This window comes from Homo sapiens, chromosome 2, assembly GCF_000001405.40.
Source record: "Homo sapiens chromosome 2, GRCh38.p14 Primary Assembly".
NCBI lineage: Eukaryota > Metazoa > Chordata > Mammalia > Primates > Hominidae > Homo > Homo sapiens.
Window position 1 is genome coordinate 167,830,882 of NC_000002.12, and position 26,141 is coordinate 167,857,022.

A 26,141-nucleotide genomic window follows, 5' to 3' on the forward strand; every position below is an offset into this window, starting at 1 on the left:
AATATCAGGGCAGCCTTGCCATGGGTCTGGACGCCACTGCACACCAGTTGTAAGAACATGGGTGAGCCTCTGAGCCTCTGGACATTTGTCTCTACCTCCTGGATTCTGGCGATAATCATAGTGTAAGTAGAAATAAATTTGTATGCTACCAAGTTCTCTACAAAATCTAGTTATTACTATCAATAACTGTCACATAGCCCCAAAGCCAAGTATTCATCAACTCTTTGAAATGTCAGCATTACATTTGACACACTTATTCACGGGAACCTTCCCATGCTTAACAACTGCTGTCCCTCTCCTGTCTGAATCATACTTTCTAATAGTTCTCAACAGTGCCCTTTATTAACAATTTAATTCAGCGCTCCCACAGTTAGTTATAAGCCCAACTACAACTGCAGTTAATGGAAAATCTCCTTTATACGAGGTGCATCTGCTGTGACATCTGTCTGGAAGCCATGGAGAGGATTCAGTGTTCATAAGCAAATTGAGTAATTACTATGTAATCACACAGTAAATTGTGTAGTCACTGATTTGCTCTCAAAATTCATATCTTTGGGACATAATATTAAAACCACCTGGGTTCTTTCAGAATGGGCAGGTATGTTCTTAAAATGGCCAAAATAAGGATTTGAGGTAAACACTTGTGGCCAAAAAATTAGAGTATTATCTCCAGAAGAGAGAAAGAGAAAGTGGTGCAGCGGGAAGAAATGAGAATGTGGAAAGGAGATATGAATAGAGGGAAAAAGAGATGGGAGGGACGCTTTAAAGGTGGATTACTAAGTGCTTTCTCAGTCATCTCATGAAATCTGTGACATTTTTGAGCCTCACTGGTTGGAGAAAACACAGAGAAATATAAATGAGGAAGAGAGATCAGAGATGCAAGATTTTACCTGTCTCAGGAAGAGCCCATCACTGGTGACAGCTATTTGGACTTTGGAAAACTGCAACATATGTAGAGAGGAGAGAAAATAATGACTCAAAAGATAGTGTCTAATAGTCTTTTATAATCACCTAGATTTACAGTGGTAAAACCTGAGACCTAATAGTTCGCCAAATGGTTACAAAACATGAATCTGTGGCACTCTCTAAACTCCCTTTTAAAAAGCCAGTCAACAGACAGTAGCCATATATATTGTGTGTAATGTATACAAGGTGAGATTCTTGAAATAAGACAAAATATAAATAAATAAGGCAGCAGCATGGCACCATGGAAGGAAGGCTGACTATAGATTGTGGCTGACACTAGTTTGAATCCTGGCTCTCCTGAAGTGCCATAGAGAGCTGCTGATGTTCAACCATTTTTAAGCTACATAAATGACAATTTCATGTGCTTCCACCAAATGGAATTAGACGTCTCTAAATACTCCAGGCTTCAGTTTCATTATTTCTAAAAGTAAGGATGATAACTTGAGAATTACAGAATAGTTTCTGACACCAACGTACTATACATTATTAGCAAAAGTAGTATTGTTATCACAAGTTGTAATTACCATATACACACATGCCAGAAGAGGTGTACAAACCTCCCACTGTCAATCCCCCAGCAAAATGACACCATTACTGTACAATGGGAATGGGGACAAAATAAGTCAATGCAGCAAAATCCAAAGTTATGAGAATCTCACTTTTAACCACCATATACTTAAAAATACAAATTTCACTGAACAGTTAATATGAGGAGTTTCAATTAAATATGAGGACTCACTTGTTAAAGCAAAGGCATTTGCATAACTATGCAAACATATGTCCAGTTTCTAAAACCAAAATTTTATGCTGAACACCCACCCTCAACAAACGCTCTATTAAAAATTAGTTACTATGCAATTGCATTAACATCAAATGGTTAGATTTTAAACAGCAAAGTGCTTTCCTAACAAACATGTTCCTTCACAATCTTCAAAAGTTCTATACAGGGGCAAGTGAGGGTAGTGCAGTGTAGTAGTTAAATGTACAAAGCAACGTAAAGTAAAAATGCAGCCCAAAGCAATCCATTACATGAACATGGGTTCCTTCCTTTGGGGGAGGAGCGGCTGCACATGGCACCATTAGAGGTGACAGCAGGGAACGAGCCAGGGCCATTAGTCAGTTTGCTAAGTAGAAATGGGAAGCAAGTTCAATGGAGCAAAAAGGTTTCTGCTCTGCAGACTTGATGGAGAGCAGTGTGATTGGTTTCTTAAGGGACAGGCAGAGGGGCAATGCGTAATTTCTCCTCCCCTCACTGAACATGCCTGTTTATCAGAGATGATCAACACCTTAGATAACACATTATGCAAATGACTGTGGCAGTTTGGCACCTAATGCAGTCTCCCTGCCAGAGTTTCGATTCACTCTCACTGTGGTCTGGGAAAAGTGAAAATAAACATGCCTCCCTTCCCTCCTTGGCTTCTTTGTCCTTGAAATAAATATTCTTCCAAGCCCACAGCTCGGAGGCTTAGCTGTATGGCAGATGGCAGTATCTCCTGCAGAGGTTATGAATATGAAACTCACAGGCTAGGAAATTAATTTAACAAAAACAAAAATAGAGGCACTAGGGATTATGGCAGGTCATACAGTGGGTATCTCAGGGAAATTCAATTCCTTAAGATTCGGAAAGATTCCAAAGATGTTTCAGTGATAATGAATCAGATGAAACTCACTCCCCAAGGTAGCTATTTCCTGATTTGCTCATTGAAAAATGACACTGGGCAATAACAGAAAAACTACGCGTGATGTAAATTCTTCTTTTCTCCCACCATTGAAATGGGCATATCTTAACCTGGAGAAAGGAAAACTGAAAGTTACCTATCTATCTAAACATAGTTACTATAAAAAGATAATTGATTGGACCAAGTCCCAAAATAAAACTGGAGGATACGTGCTCAAACTACACAAATAGCTATTCTATCCATGAAAAAATGACATCTTTAAGTAAATATGATCAGATCTGAGTACAAATTCCCAAAGGAAATACTGGAAGCTCCTGCTGTAATTCCTAAGATACATCTGTATCTAAGGTACTGTTTACACCTAGAGTAGATAATTTTCCTAAATTATCTCTAAGACTACTTCCAACGCTGAAATTTGAGGTGTAAGGATAACATCAGAATTTTTTATTAAAAAAACAAGCTCAATGTTGTTGGATTTCTATATCAGTGAGGAGTAGAACTCTATTGCAGAGTAGATTCTTATCTAAAAAAGGAACTTTGCTGCACAAAATAGGGTATGCTGGTCTCTGTTTCAAAAACAGTCTTTAACAAAAGGCAGAGTTCAAAAACAAACAGAATGAGATCAGAGCTGTGGTATTCCTGTGGGTCATCATGTCTTTATACTCAGATTAAAAGGAGCCTCCACTTTGTATCATGAAGACTGGGTACATGTAACAGTCTTCTGTATAAACATCTGTGCCCAGAGTAGAAAATTTAAGCTTGAAGTTAATAATAAATAGCACCCAAATGGAGCCTAGGTTTTTCCTTATAAAAAGCAAGCAGTGTCTGAATAATGGTTTCCTTATTGTGCATCCTTTGTAAGGTCATAAAATGAGAAGATGGAGAAAGATTGGCTTGTCCTGGCTTGTCCGTCCTTGAAAGCCATTGTGGTCTCTTTTCCAGAAGATGACAAGTCTCCTAATAGAGACTTCAGTTCTAGGTTAGATTCTGCTGGCTCTTTTACTTTGGTTACAAATGGTTAGACTTTCTACAAATGTTCTCCCCATAAGATATAGTAATAAAGTTTCTAGGCAGCACTTTGGGAGGCCGAGGCAGGTGGATCACCTGAGGTCAGGAATTTGAGACCAGCCTGGCCAATATGGCAAAACCCCATCTCCACTAAAAATACAAAAGTTGGCTGGGCACAGTGCCACACACCCGTAATCCCAGCTACTCAGGAGGCTGAAGCAGAAGAACTGCTTGAACCTAGGAGGTGGAGGTTGCAGTGAGCCAAGATTGCAACACTGCACTCTAGGCTGGGCAACAAAGCAAAACTCCACCTCAAAAAAAAAAAAGTTTCTAAACTAGTTACACTCATAAATATGTTGAGATCTGTGCCCAAGGAGAGGCCTGACATTTTTATGCAAGCTAAGAAACTCTGCCTCTGTCTTACATCTTGTCATTAATTTCACTGAAAATGACAACTTGATAGATACGCCTATGTGATAGTCATAACCTCCTTGAAAAGCCTTTTTGAGGGGAGGAGCCAAGCTGGCCAAATAGGAACAGCTCCGGTCTACAGCTCCCAGCATGAGCGACGCAGAAGACGGGTGATTTCTGCATTTCCATCTGAGGTACCGGGTTCATCTCACTAGGGAGTGCCAGACAGTGGGTGCAGGTTAGTGGGTGCAGCACACCATGCGCGAGCCGAAGCAGGGCGAGGCATTGCCTCACACAGGAAGCGCAAGGGGTCAGGGAGTTCCCTTTCCTAGTCAAAGAAAGGGGTGACAGATGGCACCTGGAAAATTGGGTCACTCCCACCCGAATACTGTGCTTTTCCGACGGGCTTAAAAAACGGCGCACCAGGAGATTATATCCTGCACCTGGCTTGGAGGGTCCTATGCCCACGGAGTCTCGCTGATTGCTAGCACAGCAGTCTGAGATCAAACTGCAAAGTGGCAGCGAGGCTGGGGGAGGGGCACCCACCATTGCCCATGCTTGCTTAGGTAAACAAAGCAGCTGGGAAGCTCCAACTGGGTGGAGCCCACCACAGCTCAAGGAGGGCTGCCTGCCTCTGTAGGCTCCACCTCTGGGGGCAGGGCACAGACAAACAAAAAGACAGCAGTAACCTCTGCAGACTTAAATGTCCCTGTCTGACAGCCTTGAAGAGAGCAGTGGTTCTCCCAGCATGCAGCTGGAGATCTGAGAACGGGCAGACTGCCTCCTCAAGTGGGTCCCTGACCCCTGAGCAGCCTAACTGGGAGGCACCCCCAAGTAGGGGCAGACTGACACCTCACACAGCCGGGTACTCCTCTGAGACAAAACTTCCAGAGGAACGATCAGACAGCAGCGTTCACGGTTCACGAAAAACCACTGTTCTGCAGACACTACTGCTGATACCCAGGCAAACAGGGTCTGGAGTGGACCTCTAGCAAACTCCAACAGACCTGCAGCTGAGGGTCCTGTCTGTTTGTTAGAAGGAAAACTAACAAACAGAAAGGACATCCACACCAAAAACCCATCTGTACATCACCATCATCAAAGACCAAAAGTAGATAAAACCACAAAGATGGGGAAAAAACAGAGCAGAAAAACTGGAAACTAAAAAGCAGAGCACTTCTCCTCCTCCAAAGTATCGCAGTTCCTCACCTTCAATGGAACAAAGCTGGACGGAGAACGACTTTGACAAGTTGAGAGAAGAAGGCTTCAGACGATCAAACTACAAGCTACAGGAGGAAATTCAAACCAAAGGCAAAGAAGTTAAAAACTTTGAAAAAAATTTAGAAGAATGTATAACTAGAATAACCAATACAGAGAAGTGCTTAAAGGAGCTGATGGAGCTGAAAGCCAAGGCTCGAGAACTATGTGAAGAATGCAGAAGCCTCAGGAGCCGATGCGATCAACTGGAAGAAAGGGTATCAGCAATGGAAGATGAAATGAATGAAATGAAGCAAGAAGGGAAGTTTAGAGAAAAAAGAATAAAAAGAAACGAACAAAGCCTCTAAGAAATATGGGACTATGTGAAAAGACCAAATCTACGTCTGATTGGTGTACCTGAAAGTGATGGGGAGAATGGAACCAAGTTGGAAAACACTCTGCAGGATATTATCCAGGAGAACTTCCCCAATCTAGCAAGGCAGGCCAACATTCAGATTCAGGAAATACAGAGAACACCACAAAGATAATCCTCAAGAAGAGCAACTCCAAGACACATAATTGTCAGATTCACCAGAGTTGAAATGAAGGAAAAAATTTTAAGGCAGCCAGAGAGAAAGGGCGGGTTACCCCACAAAGGGAAGCCCATCAGACTAACAGCGGATCTCTCGGGAGAAACTCTACAAGCCAGAAGAGAGTGGGGGCCAATATTCAACATTCTTAAAGAAAAGAATTTTCAACCCAGAATTTCATATCCAGCCAAACTAAGCTTCATAAGTGAAGGAGAAATAAAATACTTTACAGACAAGCAAATGCTGAGAGATTTTGTCACCACCAGGCCTGCCCTAAAAGAGCTCCTGAAGGAAGAACTAAACATGGAAAGGAACAACCGGTAACAGCTGCTGCAAAATCATGCCAAAATGTAAAGACCATCGAGGCTAGGAAGAAACTGCATCAACTAAGGAGCAAAATAACCAGCTAACATCATAATGACAGGATCAAATTCACACATAACAATATTAACTTTAAATGTAAATAGACTAAATGCTCCAATTAAAAGACACAGACTGGAAAATTGGATAAAGAGTCAAGACCCATCAGTGTGCTGTATTCAGGAAACCCATCTCACGTGCAGAGACACACATAGGCTCAAAACAAAAGGATGGAGGAAGATCTACCAAGCAAATGGAAAACAAAAAAAGGCAGGGGTTGCAATCTAGTCTCTGATAAAACAGACTTTAAACCAACAAAGATCAAAAGAGACAAAGAAGGCCATTACATAATGGTAAAGGGATCAATTCCACAAGAAGAGCTAACTATCCTAAATATATATGCACCCAATACAGGAGCACCCAGATTCATAAAGCAAGTCCTGAGTGACCTACAAAGAGACTTAGACTCCCACACATTAATAATGGGAGACTTTAACATCCCACTGTCAACATTAGACAGATCAACGAGACAGAAAGTCAACAAGGATACCCAGGAATTGAACTCAGCTCTGCACCAAGCGGACCTAATAGACATCTACAGAACTCTCCACCCCAAATCAACAGAATATACATTTTTTTCAGCACCACACCACACCTATTCCAAAATTGACCACATAGTTGGAAGTAAAGCTCTCCTCAGCAAATGTAAAAGAACAGAAATTATAACAAACTCTCTCTCAGACCACAGTGCAATCAAACTAGAACTCAGGATTAAGAAACTCACTCAAAACCGCTCAACTACATGGAAACTGAACAACCTGCTCCTGAATGACTACTGGGTACATAACAAATGAAGGCAGACATAAAGATGTTCTTTGAAACCAATGAGAACAAAGACACAACATACCAGAATCTCTGGGACACATTCAAAGCAGTGTGTAGAGGGAAATTTATAGCACTAAATGCCCACAAGAGAAAGCAGGAAAGATCCAAAATTGACACCCTAACATCACAATTAAAAGAACTAGAAAAGCAAGAGCAAACACATTCAAAAGCTAGCAGAAGGCAAGAAATAACTAAAATCAGAGCAGAACTGAAGGAAATAGAGACACAAAAAACCCTTCAAAAAATTAATGAATCCAGGAGCTGGTTTTTTGAAAAGATCAACAAAATTGATAGACCACTAGCAAGACTAATAAAGAAGAAAAGAGAGAAGAATCAAATAGACGCAATAAAAAATGATAAAGGGGATATCACCACCGATCCCACAGAAATACAAACTACCATCAGAGAATACTACAAACACCTCTACGGAAATAAACTAGAAAATCTAGCAGAAATGGATAAATTCCTCAACACATACACTCTCCCAAGACTAAACCAGGAAGAAGTTGAATCTCTGAATAGACTAATAACAGGAGCTGCAATTGTGGTAATAATCAATAGCTTACCGACCATAAAGAGTCCAGGACCAGAAGGATTCACAGCCGAATTCTACCAGAGGTACAAGGAGGAACTGGTACCATTTCTTCTGAAACTATTCCAATCAATAGAAAAAGAGGGAATCCTCCCTAACTCATTTTATGAGGCCAGCATCATCCTGATACCAAAGCCGGCCAGAGACACAACCAAAAAGGAGAATTTTAGACCAATATCCTTGATGAACATTGATGCAAAAATCCTCAATAAAATACTGGCAAACCAAATCCAGCAGCACATCAAAAAGCTTATCCACCATGATCAAGTGGGCTTCATCCCTGGGATGCAAGGCTGGTTCAATATACGCAAATCAATATATGTAATCCAGCATATAAACAGAACCAAAGACAAAAACCACGTGATTATCTCAATAGATGCAGAAAATGCCTTTGACAAAATTCAACAACCCTTCATGCTAAAAACTCTCAATAAATTAGGTATTGATGGGACGTATCTGAAAATAATAAGAGCTATCTATGACAAACCCACAGCCAATATCATACTGAATTGGCAAAAACTGGAAGCATTCCCTTTGAAAACTGGCACAAGACAGGGATGCCCTCTCTCACCACTCCTATTCAACATAGTGTTGGAAGTTCTGGCCAGGGCAATTAGTCAGGAGAAGGAAATAAAGGGTATTCAATTAGGAAAAGAGGAAGTCAAATTGTCCCTGTTTGCAGATGACATGATTGTATATCTAGAAAACCCCATTGTCTCAGCCCAAAATCTCCTTAAGCTGATAAGCAACTTCAGCAAAGTCTCAGGATACAAAATCAATGTACAAAAATCACAAGCATTCTTATACACCAATAACAGACAAACAGAGAGCCAAATCATGAGTGAACTTCCATTCACAATTGCTTCAAAGAGAATAAAATACCTAGGAATCCAACTTACAAGGGATGTGAAGGACCTCTTCAAGGAGAACTACAAACCACTGCTCAATGAAATAAAGGAGGATACAAACAAATGGAAGAACATTCCATGCTCATGGATAGGAAGAATCAATATCATGAAAATGGCCATACTGCCCAAGGTAATTTTTAGATTCAATGCCATCCCCATCAAGCTACCAATGACTTTCTTCACAGAATTGGAAAAAACTACTTTAAAGTTCATATGGAACCAAAAAAGAGCCCGCCTTGTCAAGTCAATCCTAAGCCAAAAGAACAAAGCTGGAGGCATCACACTACCTGACTTCAAACTATACTACAAGGCTACAGTAACCAAAACAGCATGGTACTGGTACCAAAACAGAGATATAGATCAATGGAACAGAACAGAGCCCTCAGAAATAACGCCGCATATCTGCAACTATCTGATCTTTGACAAACCTGAGAAAAACAAGCAATGGGGAAAGGATTCCCTATTTAATAAATGGTGCTGGGAAAACTGGCTAGCCATATGTAGAAAGCTGAAACTGGATCCCTTCCTTACACCTTATACAAAAATCAATTCAAGATGGATTAAAGACTTCAATGTTAGACCTAAAACCATAAAAACCCTAGAAGAAAACCTAGGCATTACCATTCAGGACATAGGCAGGGGCAAGGACTTCATGTCTAAAACACCAAAAGCAATGGCAACAAAAGCCAAAATTGACAAATGGGATCTAATTAAACTAAAGAGCTTCTGCACAGCAAAAGAAACTACCATCAGAGTGAACAGGCAACCCACAAAATGGGAGAAAATTTTTGCCACCTACTCATCTGACAAAGGGCTAATATCCAGAATCTACAATGAACTCAAACAAATTTACAAGAAAAAAACAACCCCATCAAAAAGTGGGCAAAGGACATGAACAGACACTTCTCAAAAGAAGACATTTTTGCAGCCAAAAAACACATGAAAAAATGCTCACCATCACTGGCCATCAGAGAAATGCAAATCAAAACCACAATGAGATATCATCTCACACCAGTTAGAATGGCAATCATTAAAAAGTCAGGAAACAACAGGTGCTGGAGAGGATGTGGAGAAATAGGAACACTTTTACACTGTTGGTGGGACTGTAAACTAGTTCAACCATTGTGGAAGTCAGTGTGGCGATTCCTCAGGGATCTAGAACTAGAAATACCATTTGACCCAGCCATCCCATTACTGGCTATATACCCAAAGGATTATAAATCATGCTGCTATAAAGACACATGCACATGTATGTTTATTGCGGCACTATTCACAATAGCAAAGACTTGGAACCAACCCAAATGTCCAACAATGATAGACTGGATTAAGAAAATGTGGCACATATACACCATGGAATACTATGCAGCCATAAAAAATGATGAGTTCATGTCCTTTGTAGGGACATGGATGAAATTGGAAATCATCATTCTCAGTAAACTATCGAAGAACAAAAAACCAAACACCGCATATTCTCACTCATAGGTGGGAATTGAACAATGAGAACACATGGACACAGGAATGGGAACATCATACCCTGGGGACTGTTGTGGGGTGGGGGGAGGGGGGAGGGATAGCATTGGGAGATATACCTAATGCTAGATGATGAGTTAGTAGGTGCAGGGCACCAGCATGGCACATGTATACATATGTAACTAACCTGCACATTGTGCACATGTACCCTAAAACTTAAAGTATAATAATAAATAAATAAATAAGTAAAAATAAAAATATGCCTTCACCACAAAGAAAAAAAAAAAAAAGAAAAGCCTTTTTGAAAAGCCATTCAAGAGCCATCTCCTGCCCCAGGGTGTTAGAGCACAATACAGGTCAGCACAACATGCTTAGCCTTACAACAGGAAGGTGGACTTTCTGGTTCCTCAGATCTGACATTTAATCATTGTGACCACCTCAGGGTCTAAATGGAGACCGAAAATTTGGGTTGGTGCCTTTCTGTGCCTTTGGGCCAATAAAGACAATGGGATTAAACCTCCTATTTCACAAATTCTCCAGAGATACTGAGATTATGTGTATACTCTTTCACATTCTCCAGTTAGCAAACCTGGCTGCAATGATGTGACCACACTTGCCTGAGCAGCATCTGTGAAATATACAAATGAAATGTATCAACCACCTAATGAGGACAGAAGGCCCCTTCCAGCCTCCCCCTTCTCCTAAGAGAGTAAGGAGCACGTTCCAGGCTGTTTTGTTTTTTCTTTTAGCCAGAAGCCACTGAGCCATGCTCCTAATTAGGAAAGTAAAATGCCCTAACCAAGATACTAGAAATCAGAATGGTTACAGTGAATATAGCTTTTCAGATTCTATATTTGCCAAATGAATATTTCAGGGAAAGGGGAAAATAAGGTTAACCATAGGAAATAATGATAGAAAGACTATATTTAAGTAACTTTTCATACAATAATGTGCTTCCTTTAAAATAATAAAATTTTTTGCTTGTTTTTACTTCAACACTATTACCTATTAACTTGACTTCATCCAGGTTTTTAAGCACTTTATTAGAATGCGGTTTAGCATAAATATTAATAAAGCTGGAAAAAGACCAAATGAATTAAAATGTATTCCCTGAACTGGGCTATATAAAGACACATATTATTACAAAAGTTACTTTTCACCTATTATGGTAGGGACCTATTTTATCATATCTTCCAGACAATAAAAGCCAATGGTCAAAACAAAGCAAAATAGAAACACATGAGGTCTCTCCAGTTCTTTAGATTTGAGCCTGAGTTTAAAATCCTAGAGAGAAGTAGCAACCACAAACTTTCAGTTACCCATGCTGCTGCCTGGCCAAGTAAAACTCCACTGCATGTGCCTTTTGACTCCAGCAATTCTTTCCCACATCTGTTCAAGCTGAGCAATGCATCTTCACATTTCATACTTACTTCTATGTCATTATTTCATCAGTTTCTGTAGAATGTATACTGAAATAAATCGTAAGTGACTACTGTTTAGACTTCAACTCCTTAGAGGACAGGAGCGCCTGCACTTAGTAAAGACAATAGTAATAACAGCACCTAGATTGCTAATAAGTTGTATTAAATATTTAACTGTATGTATAATTTTCTTTAAATGTTAAAATTAATAATATTAATATTTGGCTGGGTGCAGTGGCTCACACCTGTAATCCCAGCACTTTGAGAGGCTGAGGCAGGAGGATCACTTGAGCTCAGGAATTTGAGACCAGCCTGGGCAACATGACGAAACTCCGTCTCTACAAAAAACTATCAAATTAGCTGGGTGTGGTGGCACACACCTGTAGTCCCAACTGCTTGGAAGGCTGAGGCGGGAGGATTACTTGAGCCCAAGAGGTGGAGGTTGCAGTGAGTAGGATCATGCCACTGTATTCCAGCCTGCACAACAGACCCTGAATCAATAATAATAATAATAATATGTATTAAGCACTATTGTGTTCCAAGGCTGGCATTAAGTGCCTTTCTGACATTTATTTCTTTCATTTTCATGAACCTGAAATAGGCACACTTTTCTCATGTTGAAGCTGAAGAAATGATTGCGGAGCAGTGATACAGCTAGTAAATGGCAGGATTTGAACCCAGGATGCCTGACCACATGGTCTGTAGTTTTAGCAATTCACAATACTGCCTCCTGGAATAAGTCCCTTAACAAATGGTCTTCAAAATTACTGACAAAATTAAAAATCCTGATAAGTAAAAAGTAAAAGTTTGCAGCTGTAAATTTTCGTAAACATTTGACACTTAGAGAAAGCTGATGTATTTTTAGTCTAATTTGACTGCCTTTATATGAAAGATTATTTCAAGATACTTCACAGTTCAGGAAAGTAAGATGAAAGGAAATCAAGATAACATACCTGGAGTAGAGCTCCATTTAGACCAGGGCAATCCAGCCTGTCAGACTCCATCATGCCACACTTGACCAGATGCCCAGAAGGACCTCTGTGGTGAATCCCCAGATAGGAATCCTCAGTGCTTGGCAGTCAGGTCAAATCATTATTCTATTGGCTAATCAGACAGACTGCCAGGATTGCTGATTTCAGCCTCTTAATAACTGCCGCTATGGTGCTGGAGACACTACCTAGGATAGAAGTGATGTGTCTTTGTCATTCCTGGACAAGCTCTGAGATAAATAACCAGGAAGACTTCAAACCAAACATGGTACTGTCTTATGCTGCCACCCTAAAGACCCCAGATCACATACTATTGTCATCCTAACATCAGAAGGGTTGACTTAGTGCCGTTCTGTGTACTTGACCCATAAATTGCAGGTTTCAATTGCCTGTATTGTTCCTCTGAAATATTAGTGGCCTGGGAATAAGTTGTAGTTGCAGAATGATGAGCCAGGTTGGGAAGTTATGACTTTCAGTGGCACTATGAGTATGATCTGAGGACTCCAGACAGCAGATCATTGTTAGTGCCTTTGTTCTCTGACACCAAAACTGAGGCATGTGAAGTTTCTAGGACAAGGCTTTATAGAACCAAGAACAATGTCATCTGTCCCTATATTCATATCACTGGATTCTCTGAGAATGCTCACAGAGTAAATGTGGGAAGAATAGGAAGCCTATTAGACGAAATATCTAATAACAGTGGAGAGATGCTTACATGATTGGAATATGGCAGTCATTGAAAATGAATGGCACAAGAGTACATAGTCAAATGCAAAAGTGTTGATGATGCTTGCTAAGTGGGGGAAAAGCACATGAAAATCTGCAGACTACATGATCCCATATTAATAAATGAAAATATGTAAGAGGAGGCAAGGATCATCATGGTGGACGGGAGGCAGGACTGGATTGCAGCTCCACACAGAGCAGCATGCAGAGACTCGCATTATGAATTTTAGCTCCAGATCGACTGCAAGAACAAACCAGAAATCCCGAGAGGACCCACAGACCCTCTGAAGGAAGCGGACTGCTCCTGCAGGACTCGGGAGACATCCCAAGTACTATGAGTGCCCCAACTGCGGTAGTGGGAAAGGGAGACCCTCCTCTCCCAAACACACACCCCTACTGGAGAAACTAAAGGTCTGTTTGCAGGAGAAGCTTCAGACCTTACCTGGAGCAGAGTCAATTTAGAGAGCCTAGCGAAATACAGGGGTAGAGGAAGCAGCAGAAAGGCCTTGGGAGCTCGCTGGGTCCCCAAACAGGCCCTTCCTGCTGGGCACCACAAGGATCCGTCGAGAGGGCAGCCGGAGGAGCAGGAGGTAAAACTCCACAGAAAGAAAGAAATCTCTAGCTGAACTGTATAACAATTTGAATGGGGCGAGAAGCCTCCTGGCCAGAACTCAGGGGAGGGCGCAAATCCAGTGTGCAGACTCCACAGGCAGGAAAAGAACCAAGCCTTGTTCTTTCCCAGCTGGGAGGCAGGTAGCCTGGGGCAGGTTTTCAAGCCTGGCTTGCCCTCTGCCTGGAAACAGACTGGGGGCTGTTAGGGGGCACAGTGGGAGTGTGACTGGCCCTTTGGTTTGCATGAGAGCTGGGCAAAGCCTGTGACTGCCGGCTTTGCCCCACTTCCCTGACAACCTGCATGACTCAGCAGAGACAGCCATAATCCTCTTAGGTAGACAACTCCAATGACCTGGGAATCTCACCCCCATCCCCCACAGCAGCTGCAGCAACACCTGCCCAAGGAGAGTCTGAGTTCAGACACGCCTCCCACTGCCCCCACCTGATGCTCCTTCCCTACCCACCCTGGTAGCTGAAGACAAAGAGCATATAATCTTGGGAGTTCTAGGGCCCCACCCACCACCAGTTCCTCTCCATACTACCACAGCTGGTGCTCTCTGGAAAGCGCCACCTCCTGGCAGAAGTCCAAGCAGCACAAAAACAAAGCATTAAACCACCAAAGCTAAGAACCGTCACAGAGTCCATTGCACCCCCCAACCACCTCCACCAGAACAGGTGCTGGTATCCACGTCTGGAAGGCCCATAGACGATTCATATCACAGGACTCTGTGCAGACAACACCCAGTACCAGCCTGTAGTCAGGTAGACTTACTTACGGAGTGGCTAGACCCAGAAGAGAGACAATATTCACTGCATTTTGGCTTGCAGGAAGCCACATGCTTAGGAAAAGCGGGGAGTACTACATCAAGGGAACATCCTGTGGGACAAAAGAATCTGAACAACAGCCTTCAGCCCTAGATCTTCCCTCTGACAGAGCCTTCCCAAATGAGAAGGAACCAGAAAAGTAATCCTGGTAATATGACAAAACAAGGCTCTTTAACACCGCGCCCCCACCCCCCCGCAACAACAAAATCACACTTGTTCACCAGCAATGGATCCAAACCAAGAAGAAATCCCTGATTTACCTGAAAAAGCATTCAGGAGGTTAACTAGGGAGGCACCAGAGAAAGGCAAAGCTCAATGCAAGGAAATCAAAAAACAATAAAAGAAGTGAGAGGAGAAATATTCAAGGAAATAGCTTAAACAAAAAAACAAAAAACAAAAATCAGGAAACATTGGATACAATTATAGAATGCAAAATGCTCTGGAAAGTGTCACCAATAGAATTGAACAAGTAGAAGAAAAATTCAGAGCTCAAAAACAAGGTCTTTGAATTAACCCAATCCAACAAAGTCAAAGAAAAAAGAAAAAGAAAATATGAACAAAGTCTCCAAGAAGTCTGGGATTATGTTAAATGACCAAACCTAAGAATAATCCGTGTTCCTGAGGAAGAAGAGAATTCTAAAAGCTTGGAAACCATGTTTGGGAGAAAAATCGAGGAAAACTTCCCTGCCTTGCTAGAGACCTAGACACCCAAATACAAGAAGCAAAGAACTCCTGGAAATTGATCGCAGAAAGATCGTCACCTAGGCACATTGTCATCAGGTTACCTAAAGAGAAGACAAAGGAAAGAATGTTAAGAAATGTGAGACAGAAGCACCAGGTAACCTATAAAGGAAAACCTATCAGAATAACAGCAGATTTCTCAGCAGAAACCCTACAAGCTAGAAGGGATTGGGGCCCTATCTTCAGCCTCCTCAAACAAAACAATTATCAGCCAAGGATTTTGTATCTAGCGAAACTAAGCATCATATATGAAGGAAAGATAGATAGTCTTTTTCAGACAAACAAATGATAGAATTCACCACTACCAAGCCACCACTACCAGAACTGCTAAAAGAAGCTCTGTTTCTTGAAACAAATCCTGTAAACACATCAAAACAGAACCTCTTTAAACCATAAATCACACAGGACCTATAAAACAAAAATATAATTTAAAAAGCAAAAACAAAAAAAAGTACACAGGCAACAAACAGCACAATAAATGCAACGGTGCCTCACATTTCAATACTAACATTGAATGTAAATGGCCTAAATCCTCCACTTAAAAGATACAGAACCACAGAATGGATAAGAACTCACCAACTAACCATCTGCTGTCTTCAGGAGACTCACGTAGCCCATAAGGACTCACATAAAGTAAAGGTGTGGAAAAAGGCGTTTCATGCAAATGGACACCAAAAATGAGCAGGACTAGCTATTCTTATATCAGACAAAACAAACATTAAAGCAACAGCAGTTAAAAGAGACAAAGAGAGACACTATATAAGGGTAAAAGCCTTGTCCAACAGCAAAATATCACAATCCTAAACATATATGCACCTATTACTGGAGCTCCCAGATTTATAAAACAATTACTAGTAGACCTAAGAAATGAGATAGACAGCAACACAATAATCATGGGGGATTTCAATACTCCACTGACAGCACTAGACAGGTCATCAAGACAGAAAGTCAGCAAAGAAACAATGGATTTAAACTATACCTTGGAACAAAAACAACATTTCATCCAACAACCACAGAATACACATTCTATTCAATGGCACATGGAACTTTCTCCAAGATAGGTCATATGATAGGCCATACAACAAGTCTCAATAAACTTAAGAAAGTTGAAATTATATCAAGCACTCTCTCAGACCACAGAGGAATAAAACTGGAAATCAACTCCAAAAGGAACCTTCAAAACTGTGCAAATACATGGAAATTAAATAACCTGCTCCTGAATGAGCACTGAGTCAAAAATGAAATCAAGACAGAAATTTAAAAATTCTTCAGACTGAATGACAATAATGACACAACCTACCAAAGCCTCTGGAATACAGCAAAAACGGTGCTAAGAGGAAAGTTCATAGCCCTAAACGCCTACACATCAAAAAGACTGAAAGAGCACAAACTGACATTCTAAGGTCACACCTCAAGGAACTAGAGAAACAAGAACAAACCAAACCCAAACCCATCAGAAGAAAGGAAATAACCACATTCAGAGCAGAACTAAGTGAAATTGAAACAAACAAACAAAAAATACAAAAAATAAATGAAACAAAAAGCTGGTTCTTTCAAAAGATAAAATTGATAGACTATTAACAAGATTAACCAAGAAAAGAAGAGAGAAAATCCAGATAACCTCACTAAGAAACAAAACAGGACATAATACAACTGACACCACCGAAATACAAAAGATTATTCAAGGCTACTATGAACACCTTTGCATACATGAACTAGAAAACCTAGAAGAGATGGATAAATTCCTGGAAAAATACAACCCTCCTAGCTTAAATCAGGAAGAATTAGATACCCTGAACAGAACAATAACAAGCAGCGAAATTAAAATGGTAATTTAAATATTACCAACAAAAAAAAGGTCCAGGACCAAATAGATTCCGAGCAGAATTCTACCAGACATTCAAAACAGAATTGGTACCAATCCTTTTGACACTATTGCACAAGATATAGACAGAAGGAACCCTCCCTAATTCATTCTGTGAAGCGAGCATCACCCTAATACCAAAACCAGGAACGGACATAACCAAAAAAAGAAAACTACAGACCTATATCCTTCATGAACATAGATTCTAAAATCCTTAACAAAATACTAGCTAACCAAATCCAACAATATATCAAAAAAGATAATCCGCCATGATCAAGTGGGTTTCATACTGGGGATGCAGGAATGGTTTAACATATGCAAGTCAACAAATGTGATACACCACATGAACAGAATTAAAAACAAAATTCACATGATGATCTCAATAGATGCAGAAAAAGCATTTGACAAAATCCAGCATCTCTTTATGATTAAAACTCTCAGCAAAATCAGCATATAAGGGACATACCTCAATGTAATAAAAGCCATCTATGACAAACCCACCGCCAACATAATACTGAATGGGGAAAAGTTGAAAGCATTCCCTCTGAGAACTGGAACAAGACAAAGATGCCCACTCTTACCACTCCTCTTCAACATGGTACTGGAAGTCCTAGCCAGAGCAATCAGACAAAAGAAAGAAATGAAGGGCATCCAAATTGGTAAAGAGGAAGTCAAACTGTCATTGTTTGCTGATGATATGATTGTTTACCTTGAAAACCCTAACGACTCCTCCAGAAAGCTCCTAGAACTGATGAAAGAATTCAGCAAAGATTCTGGATACAAGAATCAGTAGCTCTTCCATACACCAACAGCAACCAAGTGGAGAATCAAATCAAGAACTCAACCCCTTTACAATAGCTGCAAAAAAAATAAAATACTTAGGAATACACCTAACCAAGGAGTCAGAAGACCTCTGCAGGGAAAACTATGAGACACTGCTGAAAGAAATCACAGACAACACAAACAAACGGAAACATATCTCATGATCATGGATGGGTAGAATCAATATTGTGAAAATGATCATACTGACAAAAGCAATCTACAAATTCAATAGAATCCCCATCAAAATACCACCATCATTCTTCATAGAATTAGGAAAAACAATTCTAAAATTCATATGGAACAAAAGATGAGCCTGCATAGTCAAAGCAAGACTAAGCAAAAAGAACAAATCTGGAGGCATCACACGACCTGATTTTAAACTATACTATAAGGCCATAGTCACCAAAACAGCATGGTGCTGGTATAAAAATAGGCACATAGACCGATGGAACAGAATAGACAACCCAGAAATACACCCAAATACTTACAGCCAACTGATCTTCAACAAAGCAAACAAAAATATGAAGTGAGGAAAGGACACCCTTTTCAACAAATGGTGCTGGGATAATTGGCAAGCCACATGTAGGAAAACAAAACTGGATACTCATCTCTCACCTTATACAAAAATCAGCTCAAGATGGATTAAGGACTTAAACCTGGCCGGGCGCGGTGGCTCAAGCCTGTAATCCCAGCACTTTGGGAGGCCGAGGCGGGTGGATCACAAGGTCAGGAGATCGAGACCATCCTGGCTAACACAGTGAAACCCTGTCTCTACTAAAAAATACAAAAAAAATTAGCCAGGTGTGGTGGCAGGCGCCTGTAGTCCCAGCTACTCGGGAGGCTGAGGCAGGAGAATGGCGTGAACCCGGGAGGCGGAGCTTGCAGTGAGCCGAGATCGCGCCACTGCACTCCAGCCCCGGGAAAAGAGCGAGACTCTGTCTCAAAAAAAAAAAAAAAAAAGGACTTAAACCTAAGACCTGAAACTGCAACAATTCTGAAGATAACATTGGAAAAACTCTTCTAAACATTGGCTTAGGCAAGGATTTCATAACCAAGAACCCAAAAGCAAATTCAATAAAAACAAAGATAAATCACTGGGACCTAATTAAACTAAAGAGCTTTTGCACAGCAAAAGAAACAGTCAGCAGAGTAAACTGACAACCCACAGGGTGGGAGAAAATCTTCACAATCTGTACATCTGACAAAGGACTAATATCCAGAATCTACGACAAACTCAAACAAATCAGTAAGTCAAAAACAAACAATCCCACAAAAAGTGGGCTTAGGACATGCATAGACAGTTCTCAAAAGAGGATATCCAAATGGCCAACAAGCATATGAAAAAATGCTCAACATCACTAATGATCAGGGAAATGCAAATCAGAACCACAATGTCATACTACCTTACCTCTGCAAAAATGGCCATAATCAAAAAATCAAAAAACAGTAGATGTTGGCATGGATGCTGTGATCAGGGAACACTTCTACACTGCTGGTGGGAATGTAAACTAATATGGCCACGATGGAAAACAGAGTGGAGGTTCCTTGAAGAACTAAAAGTAGAACTACCATTTGATCCAGCAATTCTACTACTGGATATCTACCCAGAGGAAAAGAAGTTATATGAAAAAGATACTTGCACACGCATGTTCATAGCAGCATAATTCACAATTGCAAGATTGTGGAACCAACCCAAATGCCCATCAATCAAGGAATGGATAAAGAAACTGATATTGGAGACTATTATTCTAAGTGAAATAACTCAGGAATGGAAAACCAAACGTCGTGTGTGCTCACTGATACGTGGGAGCTAAGCTATAAGGATGTAAAGGCATAAGAATGATACAATGGACTTTGGGGACTTGGGGGGAAGAGTGGGAGGGGGCCGAGGGATAAAAGACTACAAATATGGTGCAGTGTATATTGCTTGGGTGATGGGTGCGCCAAAATCTCACAAATCACCACTAAAGAACTTTCTCCTGTATCCAAATACCACCTGTGCCCCAATAACTTATGGAAAAATAATAAATACAAAAATAAATAAATGAAAATATATAAGATACAAAAAAAGCAAATTATCTACATCTACTTGTCAATAGTGCCTATATATACTTGATAGGATTATGGGTGATTTTTATTTTCTTCTTTTTATTTGTTTTTATCCTTTAGATTTTCTGTTTTTGAACATGCATCATTTTTGTAATACTAAAACAAAAGCTTTCTCAAAGGCAATAAAGTCGTCAAATACACTGTTAGAGGTTAAAAAAATCAAGAATAATAAGCTACTAAATTTACAAGAATTAAAAAAAATACATGTGATTAGGTTTACCCCATAAGGCAAACCAAAAGGTGATAACCAGCCCTACCTTTTATTAGAACTCGTTTAAAAAGCAAAAAACACAATAACAAAAAAGTGATGATAGTCATTTACAATTCCAAAAGGGAAGTCACAGAACATCTTAACTGTCCACTAAGGCCTGACACCCCAAACTGTCTTCTCAAGAAGCTGTGAGTAAAAACAAAAATCTGTGAGCCATGTTATGTCTCCGTCTTGAGTTTCTCAAAGGAATGGATCATATTAAAGACTCTAAGCAGTCTTTCCATAAATAAATCTGATGAACATTGTTTAACTCGTTTCTACCCATTAGCACCTCACTACCCAAAATAATAAGGCTATTGGAATACACTCTGGCTGTAAGCCAGCATTAGAAAAACTTCTTTCAGAACTCCATGAATATTTTACTTCTATTGAGCATTTACTTATGTGCTTAGCTCTCCAGCCCAAGTAGAAGATAAATAATAATCCTGATTTCTGACAATTGTTCCAGGAACCATCGCCTAGAGTTCCTGGGGGAACCAGAAGCATTGGCACTTCTCTACTAGTCTTCTGAGACTGACATGTGCCTGGGGAGACACGGAGCACATTATTGCTGTTGTGCATCATGCCTTGAAAACTTTCCAGTTGCTGGAGGGTTATTCTTCACCCTGCTCCTATTACCCAAAAATGCAATTTATTCTCTTCAATCTGGCAGTAAACAGCCTATGTAAAGAATTTTCAAGCATTTTAAAACCAACTTACCAATAGCTCTGCTGATAACTTCTTGGAAGGGCAATTTTGGCAGTGAAGTTATGTTGTCTTCAAACTTTTCAATATATATATTCTTATCAGTAGCTTGGGTGTGACATGAGTTGAAGCATCTTGTTAGGAAATTTCAGAGAACACAGCACAGCAGCTATTGCAAATAGTGACTGTGGCTATGGTCACCCGAGGTGAAAAGCACCATTTGCACCACTTTATCACTTCTTAGAGACACAATTTACACATTACTGCTCTTACTGGATAAGACGGATATAATCACAAATGACCTACCACAACAGCAAATCAGAAATTTATTAAAAATCAGCTCAGAAAGACATTTCGGAAAGAATAATTCAAGGATTTGGCAGTTGACAACCATTCATCACAGAAAAGATTCAGATTTTGTATTAGGTTTCCCAACTGTCTCTTTTATTCGTGATGGTGTGTGTGTGTGTGTGTGTGTGTGTGTGTGTGTGTGTACGTGCTTATCATCTTCCACTAGGATTATTTTCCTAAACACAGGAACTTTTATTTTATCGGAAAATTTATTTTTAATCTAGAAACATAATGAAGTTATATGAGTTCAAGAACTAAATCAGAGGCAGAAATTTGCCTTGAATGGCACAGTGAAAAGGGCTAGGCATGGGGAAAGATACTGTATACTCAAAATATGAATATAAAACATCTTTTGATACACCTTTCCAGCACATCACATAAAAACTTACTCTAGAATATAGTCCACTTTTCTATGATATCTCAGCAAAGGACTCTTGTTGAAGCTAATACTGGATGACGAATTACTGTTTATGGCTATCTGGAAGCCATTTACTCAGATTATTTCTTCCTCAACAATGCTTCTTGCACTGTGCTAGTATGCTGAGGCAAAAATGATAAAGATAGAAATAGTAATGAGAGTGACAAAAATAATGATAAAACCAGATTAAATCTTTGCCCTTACAGAGGTTAAAGTTTATCAAAGAGTCACAGTTCAAAGCAATTGAAAAATTAACCTATTGATTGAGTTATTTTCCCATTTGAGGTAAGGAAACAACCAACCTAAAATACAATCAATTGTAAAGCTACAAAGGATTACTGAAGGAAAAAATGATGTAGGTATGGTGGAGGAAAAAATATTCAGATGATCAAAACCTCCCTTCGCATTCTCAGTTTCAACTTTATTCTACCATGAATCCAGCATTCTCTCATACTGGACAGCTCCCTACTCTAGAAATAAATCAAATAATTTAACACCTTTGTGTCTCTGCAAATGTTCTTAACTTAGCATTGAATGTCTCTCCCCCACAATCAATTTTTCTCCTATTGAGAGTTCTCTATTTTTTTAATTTGAGAACCACGTCAAATATTGTCTCTTCCATGGATCTAACCCAATTATCCTTATCAATAATTAACTATTTCAATTGTAGTATCATACAAGTGGTACCATTCATGATTCCTTATTTTTTCCCATATAGATTATAGTTAATATAACTTGAAGCTCCTTAAAGGTAGGAAATTTGCATTTTCATTTGTATATTTATTATAATGTTAATAAATGTTAATAGTGGGATTATCAAATATGATGAATTAATAAATGCAAACAAAAGCATAGTGGTTTTCAGTACCAAAAAATGGAAAAAGAATAACAAGTTGTCAGCATGTCTCCAGACTCACCAACAGGCACATGTATGTTGGCACATGTAATTATAAATAAAAATTAACACATCACAATAAATGAACTAAGTAAATTCTCAGCAATTTTTGAGAGTACATTTATGGTGGCCTACTTTAAAATGAAGATTCTGTGGTTTTCAGTTAATTCACCTAGGGGGAGGGCGTGCAAGTGTTCCCTGAGAGAGATAATCAGTTGTCATCCAGGACAAGTTCACAAGAGGGCCATGTGACATCCAGTCAAAAGACACATGCCATTTTTAGACAACATGAAAAGAGAAATAGGGTTTTCAGATATCATCTTCAATTCAAAGTGCTGCTCCTCACATGGGCAATGCTAAGTAGCATTTTCCAGGATGAGCACAGTAGGGATTGATTTATTTAGTTTATGGTGGTTGATATTTCTCTTGGACAATGCCAAAATGACCAGCAATTAATAATAGCCAAAATTAAACTCTGTACCATATAAAGTTTATGATTTACCTCACAGCCAGCCTGTAAATTAGATTATCTTCATCTCATTTTATACTTAAAGAAATAGAGACAATGGTGTGTGGCTAAGGGTTGTAAACAGGGGAATCTATTCAACCAGGCTAAGGAGAAAGGGACTTATCAAATAAGTGTCAAGGAGCTCATGGACTCTCTTGAAGGGCTTGACCTGGATTTATTAACTAACCAGCCAGAACAACATGGCCATGAACAATGCAGCCCAAAAAGTACCTGATAATTCTTTGGACTTGTTTTAGTGGACACGTTATTGCTTCTATTGCCTTTACTCACAACTGTGATGTTCACATTTGGAGGCTACAAATTCTATCATAGCTGCTTCAGTAGAACCAGGGACCTTTGTCACTCCATGTGTTTTCTGGAACATCCAAATAACCAGAAAACAGCTGCCATCTCATGCTGCTCACTTCTCCATCTATGTCTTGCCCAGAGGTATCTGATGGGTGGAAACTAGGTCATTTACTTTTATCCTAGTTGTAAAGGAGCCTGGGAGACTTCATTATGGATGTCAGTTTCTTTTACAGCTGGCCCATTTCCAGGAAGAAAAGCTAAGGGGGAATTGGAACAGGAGAGGAGTTGGCTAAACTGCCAAATCGGCCATGAGTGGAGAATTTATTGACCATAGTCACATCGCTAGTAAGGGGCAGAGCCTTCTGATGCCATCTCTTAAGTTCTTCCCAAGATAAAATGAGTGCCTCATTGTAGCAGAGATGAGCAGCTCACCTGTCTCTCAGAGCTTAATTGAAATATACCTTAAGAGCAACTGTTGCCTTTTAACCTAGGATTGCATGAACTGCAAGTGTCATTACTGATTTGGCTTTGTAGATACCTTAATATTGTTAAGGAAGTAGCCCAGTGAATGGGGATGAATTCTTCATCCTCTGTGCAGTTTTCATTTAAAAATACTAGCACACCTACACTGTGAAACTGAGAAGCTCAGAGCTAGACGAACCCTTAAGCCAAGGTGAAATGCATAGCAGCTGGACTACATTTTCCCTACCTCTCACATTAAGTCATGGATAATTAAAGGAAATAAGAAAATAAATTTGATTCTGACGACCATGTAAAAAGTGAGATGCAGAATATGGTGTATAGACCTACATATTACAGTTTGATAGACTTGTATTCAAATCCAGGTTTAATCACTCATTAGCTATGTAAAGCTGGGGCAAGTTGCTTAATCTCTCCAGGCCTCAGCTTTCTCTTCTGTAAAATGGGAACCATGCCTACTTCTTAGTAGAAGTAATTATTAGTGAGATTGTATACATTATTTGTAAAACACTGTATAGACTGTCACATACAGAAGGTATTGATTAAATAGAAGTTACCGTTTAACATTACTTTAAAAGAAGTAATTACTAAATGTCACAACATTGATTTAACAAATCTTTAAAAATATGTGCTGTAGTAATCCATCCAGCTATGAAAATGGTTACCTATTGAGGGTACAGATATAGAGAATGGCAAGTGAGATATTTTTCCTTTGATTTCTGATATTTTGTATGGTTTCATGTGTTTAAAACAAGGACTATTTCCTTTCACGACTGACCTGTTTTCAGTCATACTTAGAGACCTTCCCTAAATTCTACTTCTACCAAACTTTCAAACTGTCTGATGGACTTTCAAATTATGTACTAAGGGAAAGGGAAAGCAAATAGCTTGGAATTTCTTAGAAAACTCACCTATACCATCTGTTCAGAACTTACTAAAGAAATGACTATTAAAATGTCATTTCTTTAATAGTCTTTAAACAACAACAAAAAAAATAGCCTCAGAATTTCATGGAAAGTCATCTCTAAAGGGCCAAGTAAAAACATCCTTTGAATGAGACTTTACAACATTTTAACAATTTCAGAAACAAGCTGACAGCTAAAATATAAAGAAAAATAAAACACATCTATGTCGATGAACAAAAACTACAGAATTGTTTTTTGACCTTTTGTTGTCATTAGCAAAACCTGTCCTATATGCCTACTAAGTTTGTCTATGATACAAGTATCCCAAGAAATTTAACTCAAAACACTCATGTTCTAAAATATGTTTTCTATTTATGAAAAACAAGAGCAAAAAGCAGAAGGAAGGCAAACTTCTCCTTCCTTTGGTATAAACTTACATATATACCATTTAAGAGAGAAAGCAGTGCTGAAAATATGCAGGGCTATAAAGTGCATTGGTCTCTGATCCACCTGCTGGTGAACATATTTGGAGAGTCAATAGCAGAAGTCTTGTTCTCAAGAGCATGAGTACTCCATGCTGATGAGACTGGAAGGAGGGATAAGCACTGGTTTGGAGGCTGCAAAAAGCAGGCTGAGGAGGTGTGAAGAGAAGAAAACACATAGGACCACCAGCAAAGTGAGCAGAAGGACATGAGGGTGCAGTCAGAAGGAATCCAAAGCGGGAGTGAAAGAAGAGAGTGACTCAGTGTGTCCAAAGCAGCTGACACCAGGAAAGCTTGGACTGGGAAAGTTGTATGCTTTACTGAGAATAGCATCAAGTGCCATGTTGATCTATTGTAGGAGTTAAATAGGTAAGGAAATGGGAAAAAGCAGGAGAGAGTGCCCAGTTAAGGCCCCTAGCTATGAAACCTAGGAGGAAAGCATGATAGTAATTGGCAGTGATGCCAGGGTCAAGAGAAGGTTTTGCTGTTCTTGTTATTTTTCTAAGCAAAGGAAGACAAGCACTTCTAGAGACAAAACAGGAGTCAATGGAAATGGAGAGACTAAAAACACAGAATATAAAAGAGTCCTTTGTTAAGGGGGCTGAGAAAGCATGTACTAGTGACAGGATTTCTGATCCGTGAGGATTAATGTGATTTTGAAAC

At 39.7% G+C, this 26,141-nt stretch overlaps 1 protein-coding gene and 1 long non-coding RNA gene across 6 annotated transcripts in view, besides 1 other annotated feature; one reads left to right on the top strand and one right to left on the bottom strand.

Moving 5' to 3' along the window:
* The window catches only part of B3GALT1 (beta-1,3-galactosyltransferase 1), a 581,045-nt gene that overhangs the window by 537,881 nt on the left and 17,023 nt on the right, over nt 1-26,141 (top strand). The gene's annotated exons all lie outside the window — the stretch shown is intronic.
* Nucleotides 1-26,141, bottom strand: part of B3GALT1-AS1 (B3GALT1 antisense RNA 1) — a 126,371-nt gene that overhangs the window by 16,108 nt on the left and 84,122 nt on the right. The gene's annotated exons all lie outside the window — the stretch shown is intronic.
* Nucleotides 13,266-14,233: an enhancer, noted in NCBI's record as "NANOG-H3K27ac-H3K4me1 hESC enhancer chr2:168700657-168701624 (GRCh37/hg19 assembly coordinates)". NCBI's record gives its function as "activates a minimal SCP1, AML or CMV promoter by ChIP-STARR-seq in naive and primed H9 embryonic stem cells {active_cell/tissue: H9 hESC(naive and primed)}" and the evidence as "EXISTENCE:reporter gene assay evidence [ECO:0000049][PMID:30033119]".